Source organism: Homo sapiens, chromosome 1, assembly GCF_000001405.40.
Source record: "Homo sapiens chromosome 1, GRCh38.p14 Primary Assembly".
Taxonomy (NCBI): domain Eukaryota; kingdom Metazoa; phylum Chordata; class Mammalia; order Primates; family Hominidae; genus Homo; species Homo sapiens.
The window spans coordinates 26,076,780-26,088,821 of NC_000001.11; the positions used below are offsets into that span (position 1 = coordinate 26,076,780).

Here is a 12,042-nt window from a genome sequence, read left to right on the forward strand (position 1 = left end):
GTAAACATTTATTATCTCATACAGTTTCTATGGGTCAGGAATTCAAGAGCAGCTAAGCTGGGTGGTTCTGGATCTGGTCTCTAAGGAGGTTGTAGTCAAGATGTTGGCTGGGGCTGGGCGCGGTGGCTCACGCCTGTAATCCCAACAGTTTGGGAGGCTGAGGCAGGAGGATTGCTTGATCCAAGAGTTTGGGACCTGCGTGGGCAACACAAGGAGACCTTGTCTCTACAAAAAAAAAAAAAAATTACCTGGGCATGGTTTTGCGTGCCTGTAGTCCTAGCTACTCAAGAGGCTAAGGTAGGAGGATTGCTTGAGCCCAGGAGGTCAAAACTGCAGCAAGCTGTGATAGTGCCACTCCAGCCTGGGCAACACAGTGAGACTCTGTCTCAAAAAAAAAAAAAAAAAAAAAAAAAAAAAAAAAAATATATATATATATATATATATATATATATATATAGGCTGGGGCTGCAGTTGAGTTTAGCAGAATGCTTGACTGGAGCTGGAGGATCCACTACCAAGATGGCACACTCATGGTTGGCAAATTGGTGGGAGGCCTCAGTTCCTCAGTACACATACCTCTCCATAGGGCTGCTTGAGCATCCTTATAACATGGCACTGGCTTCCCCCAGGGCAAGTGATCCAAAAGAGCAAGACAAAAGTGGTACTATCTTTTATGACCTAGCCCCAGAAGTCACACACTATCATTTCCATTGTATTCTACTGGACACACAGACCAACCCTGATACAGTACGGGAGGCAACTGCACAGGACCTGATTACCAGGAGGCAAGAATTATTGAGCTGTATCTTGGAGGCTATCACAGTCTGTTCTAAGTGTTTTATAGGTATTAATTCATGTGTTAATTCATGACATTGATACCACTACCATCCCCATTTTACAGATGAGAAAACTGAGTCACACAGAGATTAGGTGACTTGCTTAAGGTTACACTTCTAGGAAATGGACTGGGGTGTTGTGATGGACTGAATACTTGTGTTCCCCCAAAATTCACATGTGGAAGCCCTAACCCCAAATGTGAAGGTATTTGAAGATGGGGCCTTTAGGAGGTAATTAGGGTTAGATGAGTTCATGAAAGTAGGTCCAGTGGGATTAGTGCCCTTATAAGAAGAGACATAAGGCTGGGCAGCTGAGCAGATGGGCAGATGGGCACGGTGGCTCACACCTGTAATTCCAGCACTTTGGGAGGTCAAGGTGGAAGGATCACTTGAGCCCAGGAGTTCAAGACCAGCCTGGGCAATAGAACAGACCTTGTCTCTACCAAAAAAAAAAAAAAAAAAAAAATTAGCTGGGTGTAATGCCACACACCTGTAGTCCCAGCTACTTGGGAGGCTGAGGCGGGAGAATTTCTTGAGCCCAGGAGCTGAAGGCTGCTGCAGTGAGCTATGATCACACCACTGCTCTCCAGCCTGGGCCACGGAGAGAGACCCATCTTTAAAAAAAAGAAAAGAGACACAAGAAAGCTTGCTCTCCTTTCTTCTCTCTCTGTTTCTGTGGCTGTCTCTATGTCTCTCTGAAACTGCCTTTGCAAAAATTATAACTGAGGAAACTATGACAGTGAAAGATTTCAGATCTAACCAACTCCGTCTTGTTTCTAACCTTTAAGCAGTCCTTGTTCATTTCTGGGCTTAAGCCAAACTAACCTAGGGAGGAATTTAGTTTGACTCTGAAACAAAATTGATAATAGCCCTTTCCTGAAAAGACCCCCTTCTTCTGTTGGGACCAGTCTGCTTTTGTAGGACTAACAAATTAGCTACAAGATTAGAAATTATGGTTTAGGGGTCATGCAGCCTCTGACTCCAAGTCTGAACCTCCCCCAAATTGCTCCTGGGGACATCACTATTGTAAAACCTAAGATCAGTGCTTAAGATATTTTGCAGATCCCGCACTTGATGGATCAGCTGACACCACCCAGGCCAGTAATCTGACTCAACCAGTTCTGCGATCTTATCCAGGAACTGAGGACAGCAAGAAAACTTGACTTTGACCCCCTCTATGATTCCATCTCCAACCTGACCAATCAGCACTCCCCACTTCCGGAGCCCCTACTCACCAAATTATCTTTAAAAACTCCGATCCCCGAATGCTTGGGGAGACTGATATGAGTAACAATAAAACTCCAGCCTCCCACACAGCCGACTTTGCATGAATTATTCTTTCTCCATTGCAATTCCCCTGTCTTGATAAATTGTCTCTGCCTAGGCAGTGGGCAAGGTGAACCTGTTGGGCGGTTGCCTCTCTCTCCCATTCTCTATGCATACACACCAAGGTAAGACCATGTGAACACATAGCAAGAGGGTAGCTACCTACAAGGCAAGAGAAGAGAACTCAGAATAAAATCACCTAGATCTTGGACTTGCCAGCCTCCAGAACTGTGAGAAGTAAATTTCTGTTGTTTAAGCCACCCAAGCTGTGGGATTTTAGCAGACTCATGAGGCTTTGCACTCAGAGGGTTCAGGATTTGACTTCAGAGCGCTGACTGTTTAGCCCTTGTTCTTAACCTTTCCCTCTTTCTCCGGGACAAACACAGGCCCTGGCGCCCCCTGATTCCCGCCTGGCCCGTTTGCTGGGTGAGAGGCTCTTTTCACTGACAGTGAGGCCCTACGTGCCACTGGGAAGACTTGGAAACAGGACTGGGGGAAGCCTCTGGGGCAAACTCCAAGTCCAAGGATTCAGTGCTGGCCCAGATGTTCCTTTGTTTATACCCCTGGGAGACAGTCTTGGGGGCTCAGCTGCCCACCCCACCTGGCCTGCCGCTCCCCACCCCCACAGCTTGAACCTGGGGTTTGCCACACACACCCTCAGGGACTATCCAGATCATAAACAGTGAGCAGGAGGAAAACAAACTATATTTAAAACAGCAGTTGCTTCACAAACAAAGCTGGTGGGGGGAAAACACTAGAAACATGAAAAGACCAAATGTCAAAATCCATAATACGTTAAAATTTTAAGAATAAGCAAAAGATATAAAATGGCAATTCACAGAAGAATAAATGTCAATGTCCCCAAAAACAAAAGCGAAAAAAAGTGCTTATCCCCACTAATTTAAAAATATCACATTAAAACCACAATAAAATCTGATTTTTCTTTGATCCAATAGACAAAAGTATTAAAGATTAATAATATCCAAGCTCGGTGAGGGGTAGGGACATGGGCACTGGCACTGCTCTTGGCCCTGGGGGAGCAGGAGAGTGCAATCTGACAAAGAAAAATGTTAACAATACATACATGTGACTCAGCAATTATATTCTGAGGACTCTATCTTATCAAAAGACTAGAAAGATAACAGAAAGATATAATTAGATAGATAGATACAGATATGCAGATATAGAGAGCTATTTACACACCAGGACGTTTTTGCAATTTTGTTTGCAGTAGCAAAACCTTGGAAACAGCCCAAATGTCCATCAATGGGACAAATAAATAAATTGCCGTATAGTCACCTAGTGGAATATTATACAGAATTAGAATAAACAAATCTTGCCACACGTAACAACATGAGGGAAGCTCATAAATAGAATGTCAAGCAAAAGAGGACATCCTGTATAATTCTGTTTATATAAACTTTGAAAAAGGCAAAACGAATCTGAGCTGTCAGCATTCAGGATGGTGGTTATCCTTGAGGAGGCCAGAAGGAAGCATGGAGCCCCTGCGAGTGCTGGTGATGGCCTGTTTCTTGACCTGGGTGTGGGTGATGCAGGTATACTCACTCTGTGAAAATGCCTTGAATTGTACACTTAGGAATTGTGTACTTATTTTGTTTTTTTGAGACAGGGTTTCACTCTTGTCACCCAGGCTGGAATGCAGTGACGCAATCTCGGCTCACTGCAACCTCCACCTCCCAGGTTCAACCAATTCTCCCGCCTCAGCCTCCCGAGTAGCTGGACCTACAGGCTCATTTTTGTATTGCTTGGTAGAGATGGGGTTTCACCATGTTGGCCAGGCTGGTCTCAAACTCCTGACCTCAAGTGATCCACCCACCTCAGCCTCCCAAAGTGCTGGGATTGCAATGTGTACTTTTCTGAATGTATATTATACTTGAAGAAAAAGTTTACTAAACAATAACAACAACAAAAAGCATACCCCAATAAGCATTCCAAATGTCCATGCAGAAAAATAAATGCTTATATATATACATAAATATTCCTCCAATTTTAAAACAATGGACATTGAGCTTTCCATATTGAATACCAATATCAAAAGATGTCAGCAATATATTGTTAGGCACAAACAGAAAAACACACGCCTATTAAATATAATCTGATCCTATTCTTCTAAAAAATATTATACATGGGTATCTAAATAAACGTATGTAACAAATATGTGGTACAGGCATAGAAAATGGATGGAAAGAAATCTCCAAACTGTTAAAAACTAGGAGCCAGGGCTCCTTAATGAGGCCCTCTAAAGGCTCCTTAATAAGCCCATTTAACGAGGCCCAGCAGGAAACTTGAGCTACAGCTGAGCAGAACTGGGCCCTCACCTCTGTCAGAGCTGGGCCCTGGCACAGCCCTGGGTAGGCCAGGGGCCACTTAGGATCAGAGTTTCTGGAAGCACCATGCAAGGCGAGCCCTGGGGGCCCTGGAACAGCCAGGTCAAGGCCGGGGGAATGGACCCTGAGAGGTAGGATGAAGACAGGAGAATTAGCCCTGGCCTCATGGGCCCCAGTGGTGTTGGGGGAAGTGGGGGGAAGACAGCCCTATCTGGACACCCCAATTAATCATCAAAACCCTCAGGACACCAAGGTCATACTGTTAGTAGGTGGAACAGCCAGGCCTTGATCCCAAATCTGTTTGAATCTCAAGTTAGAGGCTCTGTACTGGGCTGGGGAGGGTGTGGTAAAGACAGTAGAAAGGAGCATGGTGCCCTGTACAAAGACCCAGAACCCCACGGCAGGAATCACAGAAGTGGCTTTGGCCCAGTGCCCGCAGCTAAGCCACCCTCTGTGGTCAGAACTCAACCACTAAATCTGGCTCCAAGAGCCGCTCCGTTAACTCAGCACTGACCTCCACCTCCAGCTTCCAGCAGCCTGGAGGCTGGCCCCATCCAAAATAGATCCCAGGAGCGAGAGCCAGGTCTATCTACTGTGCCTCTGTACACAACCACCCCCAATCCCCCTATTCACTCACCACCCTACTTTCCCCAGCCCCCTTCACCCACCCCGCCCCTGTGTTCTGAGTCACTCAGGACATGATGGCTATTAAGGAGATGGAAAGAGTAGGGGCAGAGGAGCAGGGGTGGCTGGAACAGCCTGGGTCCCAGGTTCAAGTCCCCAGAGTTGAGCCAGATGTGGCCTGGCTGATTGTCCTAAGCAACTTAGAACAAACAAATTTATCAGGTGTGGGACAGCAGTCAGCAGTTGGGAGCCTACTGTGTACTGGGTTTATTCAGTCTGTACAACTGTCGGTATTAATGTCTCTGTTTTACAGATAAACTGAGTTCAGAGGTGAAGTAACTTGTCCAAGGTCACCTACAGCTTGGACCACTGAACCAAGGAAAACGTAGATTTTGAGCACAGTCCTGCTACTTACTAGGAGGAAAGCCGTGTGGCTTGGGCAAGTTACTTTACCTCTGTGAGCCTCAGTTTCCTTATCTATAAAGATGATGTTAAATTAATATTTAACTTATAAAATTGTGAGGATTCAAAAAGATAACGTTAATCTGAGTGCTGTGGCACACACCTGTAATTCAAGCTGCTCAGGGGGCTGAAGCGGGAGGATCGCTTGAGCCCAGGAGTTTGAGGCTGTAGTGAGCTGTCATTGCACCACTGCACTCCAGCCTGGGCAACACAGCAAGACCCCATCTTTAAAAAAAAAAACAAAAAGGTAATGTTAAAAGTCTTAGCATAGTATCTGGCACATAGAATGTCCTTAGAAAATGTTTGTTTTACTTTTTTTTGAGACAGGCTCTCTCTCTCTCTCTCTCTCTCTCTCTCTCTCTCTCTCTCTCTGTCTCTGTTGTCCAGGCTGAAGTGCAGTGATGCAGTCACAGCTCACTGCAGCCTCAACCTCCCGGGCTCAAGTGATCCTCCTGCCTCAGCCTCTGAGTAGCTGGGACTACAGGCATGTGCCACCACACCCGGGTAATTCTTTTTATTTTTTTTTGTAGAGACAGGGTCTCTCTATGTAACCAGGCTGGTCTCGAACTCTTGCCCTCAAGCAATCCTCCTACCTTGTCCTCCCAGTCTTAGCAAATGTTATTATGATTAATTTAATTATCTGACCAATGAGAGAGTTTACTCCCTCAGAGCAGTGGGGTTAGGGAAAGTTTTTAACCTTCCTAGATCAATCCAGGATGTCTTCCTGAAAGAAGCAGCATTTCTGTCCCATTTTAACCTGAGACCATGAATTCCCTAGGTATATAAGGTTGTGATGGGGTAAGCATGGGGAGTATTTGGTAGAAGAGGGCACACCTTGGATAGGGAGAATTGCCTCAGTCTGGGTGTGGGGGGTCAGGCCAGGTCTAAACACAGGCAGGACTCCAGATCTCGTTCTCGGAGAATGTCCCAACATCCTGCTTGGGCACCTTGGATGATAAACAGGTTGTCACCCTCCAAACCCCAGGTGAACCTGATAAATCCTGGCAAAGCTGAGGCGAGGAGAAGAGGCCCATCTATAAATACTCAGTGACTCAGGCTCAGTGTCGTGTTGAAAGAGCTGCTTGTGTTTATGGCTCGGTTGCTCTGGGGAGGCAGTCCAGCTCTAGGAGGAAGGTCCAAGCTGCCCTGAAGTCTCAGACCTCCCAGTTTTCTCTGCTGGGGCAGGTTTGGGACCTGGGGCCAGACCCACCATACCCTGGCTTAGTGTCCAGTCCATTATGGGACTCTGAACAAACCTCTCACTTTTCTGAGCTTCTAGCCATGCAGGAAATGAAACATGTTGACTCTCCCTACTTTGGCCAGATAGGCTGTGAGGCAGGATGGTCTAGTGATCAGGCACTCAGGTTTTTGGTGCCAGATAAATGTAGGTTCAAGTCCCAGTTTCATCCTTTAACTAGCTATGTGACTTTAAGCCAGTCAATTCATTTTTCTGAGCCTCAGTTTCCTGAACTATAAAATGGAGACGATAATGGAACTTTTTTCATAGAGTTGTCATGAGGATGAAAGAAGACAAAATACATAAAGCACTTAGCAAAGTAACTGACAGGTAATAAACACTCAGTTAATGATAGCATTATGATTGCAAATTAAGCTAACTGTTTAAAATACTTTGAAAAGGGATATTGGAGATCTTGGTTCCCCCAGAGAGATATTTTGAGAGTCAATGATTACCCAAGAACTTCAACTACCTCTCTGCTTCCTAAGTAGAACGAGCCAAGCTATGAGGAAAACAAGACAGTTCCCCAAGATTGGTAGGGAAAGGGCAAGGCACTGTCACTCATCAAATACCTACTGTGTGCCAGCTGTTGTCACCTCCAACATCATCTCACTTACTCTTCAGCCACCAGCAAGGCACAACTTCCCTACACAGACCAATAAACCCAGACCCTGTGAAATGAACTGAATGGCAGAGCTGGGATTTGAGCCCAGGTCTGAGTACTTTCAAAGTGCTTGCGTGTGATCCTATCACACTATGGTACTTGGCTGCCTCCCTGGTCTAGGAAGGTGGCCAAGGAAGAGACAGAAGTGAGAGAATGAGGAAGGGAGATTCAAGGTGCTCAGCAACAGTCAAGGGAGAGTGTAGAGATTTAGAAGGAGATGGGAGGTGGAGAGCTGTTTGGGAAGAACACATGACTTTGAGGTGACTGTTCTATGGGTCAACCAGCAGGCAGATGGAAAAGTACAGCTGAACTCAGAAGAAAGATCAGACTGGAGGCTGGGCGCAGTGGCTCGCATCTGTAATCTCGGCACATTGGGAGGCTGAGGCGGGAGGATCATTTGAGTTCAGGAGTTTGAGACCAACCTGGGCAACATGGCGAAACCTCGTCTCTACAAAAAATGCAAAAATTAGCCGGGCATGGTGGTGCACACCTATGGTCCCAGCTACTTTGCAGGGGCAGAGGTGAGAGCATTGGTTGAGCCCAGGAAGCGGGGATTGCAGTGACCTGAGATCACACTGCTGCACTCCAGCCTGGGCAACAGAGTGAGACCCAGTCTCCAAAAGAAAGAGAGAGAGAAAAAGAAAAAAGCTGGGATGGGGTTGTGAGGAAAGAATCCTTTGCTCAAGGCTGTCTGAAATGACTTCTAAACTTACAACCCCTCAAGACCCTCTTCTGCATGGCTTTGAATGCCGTCTCTGCAGCATCCTACCTCCTGGCCTTTGCACATGCTGTGTGATCTGCCTAGAATAGTCATTTCCTCCTCAGCTGAGATGTCACCTCTTCAAAGAAGCCTTCTTTAACCACTCTATTTAGATAGGCCCCGTCCCATTACTCCTGGATTGAGCACCTGCTTGGTGCTTGGTTCTTTCTCAATATTTATCACAATCTATATTTTACCCAATTTCTTTGTCAGTTGTTTGTCCCCACCCTCCGCCCAAGACAGTATCTGCTCCATGAATGCAGGGATTGGATGAGCTTGTTCACTGCTATCTACAGCTCCTGGAATAGCGCCTGGCATACAATGCAGCTTAGCGTGTTTATGGAATGAATGAATGATCCAGTCCCAGCTGTCTCCTAAAATCCTGTCTCCAACTGTCTGATCCGTTGGAATTGATTTCCCACTATTTCTCCATTGCACCCTCCCCGTTCTCCCCTTCTATGGTCCCCTACTTGGAATACCCTCTCTCCTCTGCCCATTCAAGCCCTGCCCAAGGCTGAGCTCCCCTGGGAAGCCCACTCACCCCCAGATCAAGTGAAATGAATAATCTATACAACTGTACATGGTGGCCCTACTCCAAGCACCACTACTTACCTTGAGTAAGTCATATCAACTCTCTGGAACCTATTTTCCCCAGTTAATTCTATCCTCGGTATTGCATCCAAAGGAAATCATTCAAAACCAGAGAAAAGCCAGAAATGGCCAAAGATATACCCTGAAGTATTATTTAAAATAGAAAAAAGCTTTTGAAACAACAAAAATGTTAAATGTTAATAATAATAAAAAGCTACTGTGTAATGAGTGCTTAAATGGATCTGGCAGTGAGCAGCTGTGGTTCAGAGCTGTGGTTACGCACACAGGCTCTGGACCCACAGCCCCACCACTTACTGTATGATCTTTTAGTTTGTTTGTTTGTTTGTTTGAAATGGAGTCTCACTCTGTTGCCCAGGCCGGAGTGCAATGGCGCAATCTCAGCTCACTGCAACCTTTGCCTCCCAGGTTCAAATGATTCTCCTGCCTCAGCCTCCCAGGTAGCTGGGATTATTTATAAGCATATGCCACCACACCCGGCTAATTTTGTATTTTTAGTAGAGACAGGGTTTCACCATGTTGGCCAGGCTGGTCTTGAACCTCTGACTTCAGGTGATCCACCTGCTTCGGCCTCCCAAAGTGCTGGGATTATAGGCGTGAGCCACCACGCTCGGCCGATCTTTTTTGTTTTCCTTGCTCTGTCACCCAGGCTGGAGTGAAATGGCACGATCTCAACTCATGCAAACCTCTGCCTCCTGGGCTCAAGCAATCCTCCCACCTTAGCCTTCTGGGTAGTCGAGAGTACAGGCATGAGCCACTGCACCTGGCTGTACTGTATCTTGAGCCAATGATTTAACTTCTTTGAGATTCAGTTTCCTCATCTATAAAATGGGAATGATAAAGTTTCCTTCCTCGTAGAGCTTTTGTTGTTGTTGTTGTTAAGTAAACCTTTTACTGACTGTAATCCAAATACCAAATTGTACATGATTAAATGTGTAGCTGAATAAATTTTCACAAAATAAGCATTGTTGTGTAATCAACAAAAAAAGATGATTTTGACGATTACATGAGACATGTGGGAAATACTTAGAGCAGTGCCCGGCACAGAGAACATGCTGGGATGGGTTGCTCCTGTTTCATGGGCATTGTGCTAAGTACTCTCTTTACATGCATTATTTTTATTTAATTTTGTTTTCCTTTTATTTACCTCACAATAACCCTTTGAGGTAGGCACTAATATTACCCTCATTTCAAATAAGGAAACTGAGATTCAGAGAAGTTAAATATACTGCCCAACATCACAAAGTTAGTAAATGACAGAGGTGAGAGAGGAACCCACGTCTTTTGCCAAAACCTCCTTCCAAAACTCCTTGATATAATGACTCCCCAAGACATCTATTGCAGCATCAGCTAATAAGCTATTTTTAAAAAGGATATTCAATGACCAACTAGGTAAACTGTGGTCTGCTGAATTCTCTTTTTTTTTTTTTTTTTTTTTTTTTGAGACAGAGTCTCACTCTGTCACCCTGGCTGGAATGCAATGGCTCGATCTTGGCTCACTGCAGCCTCCGCCTCCCGGGTTCAAGCAATTCTCCTGCCTCAGCCTCCCAAGTAGCTGGGATTACAGGTGCCCACCACTACACCTGGCTAATTTTTGTATCTTTAGTAGAGATGGGGTTTCACCATGTTGGCCAGGCTGGTCTCGAACTCCTGACCTCAGGTGATCCACCCACCTCGGCCTCCCAAAGTGCTGGGATTACAGGCGTGAGCCACTTTGAGCCCGGCTGGTCTGCTGAATTCTCAAGTTGATAAAATAATTATCTGTTGAGCACCTACTACATGCCAGGCACAGTTCTAGGCACTGGAGATACAGAGAAAGCAAGAGAGAAAAGCTCCCTTTTCTCCCCAGGGAGCTTATATTTTGGCAGGAGAAGACAGATTTTTAAAAACAAAGATAATTTCTGATGTAATAAATGCTATCAAGAAAATAAACCAGGCCAGGCACGATGGCTCATGCCTGTAATCCTAGCACTTTGGGAGGCCAAGGTTGGCAGATTGCCTGAGCTCAGGAGTTCGCGACCAGCCTGGGCAACATGGCAAAACCCTGTCTCTACTAAATATACAAAAAATTAGCTGGGCGTGGTGGTGCATGCCTGTAGTCCCAGCTACTTAGGAGGCTGATTCAGGAGAATCCCTTGACCCCGGGGGGCGGAGGTTGCAGTGAGCCGAGATCACACCACTGCACTCCAACCTGTGTGACAGAGTTAAACTCTGTCCCCAAAATAAAAAGAAAAGAAACCAGAATCGACTGGGAGCAATGGCTCATGCCTGCAATCCCAGCACTGTAGGAGGCCGAGGTGGGAGGATCACTTGGGCCCAGGAGTTAGAGACCAGCCTGGACAACATAGAGACATCCTGTCTCTACAAAAAATTTAAAATTTAGCTGGGCATGGTGGCACACGCTTGTAGTCCCAGCTACTTGGAAGGCTGAGGGAGAAGGAGTTCAGGAGTTCGAGGCTGAAGTGAGCTATGATGGTTCCACAGCACTCCAGCCTGTGCAACATAGCTAGACCCTGTCTCTATAAAAAATAACAATAATAAAGTATTCTAAGAAAGAAAGAAAGAAAGACAGAAAGAAAGAAAGAAAGTTAGTTGGTTGGGTGTGGTGGCTCATACCTATAATCCCAGCAGTTTGAGAGGCTGAGATGGGGGTATCGCTTGAGTCCAAAAATTTAAGACCAGCCTGGGCAACACAGCAAGGCCCGATCTCTACCAAAAAAAAAAAACCCAAATATATATATATAAAATATGTATGTGTATATAATATATATGTGTGTGTATATGTAAATATAAATATATAAAGTAGAGTAATAGGATGGAGAGAGACTTTCATTCAGGGAGACTGCCTTGGATGCTTTAGATATGATGTTCAAGGAAGGCCCCCTGAGGAGGCGACAGTCGATCTGAGACTTGGATGTTGTGGAAGAGCTGACTGAGTGACAACCTTGGGGAAGGACACTCCAGAGAGAGCCCCAAGGGTTATGCAGCCATTCTAATATATTGTATTGAGACCTGGAAAAAAGTAAAACAAGGCCGGGTGCGGTGTCTCACGCCAGTAACTCCAGCACTTTGGGAGGCCGAGGCGGGCGGATCACCTGAGGTCGGGAGTTAGAGACCAGCCTGAACAACATGGAGAAACCCCGTCTCTACTAAAAATACAAAATTAGCCAGGTGTG

At 45.7% G+C, this 12,042-nt stretch overlaps 1 annotated feature.

Moving 5' to 3' along the window:
• Positions 2,437-2,613: a silencer, noted in NCBI's record as "fragment chr1:26405707-26405883 (GRCh37/hg19 assembly coordinates)". NCBI's record gives its function as "represses an EF-1alpha promoter that drives an FKBP-Casp9 reporter gene in an ReSE screen in K562 erythroleukemia cells {active_cell/tissue: K562}" and the evidence as "EXISTENCE:reporter gene assay evidence [ECO:0000049][PMID:32094911]".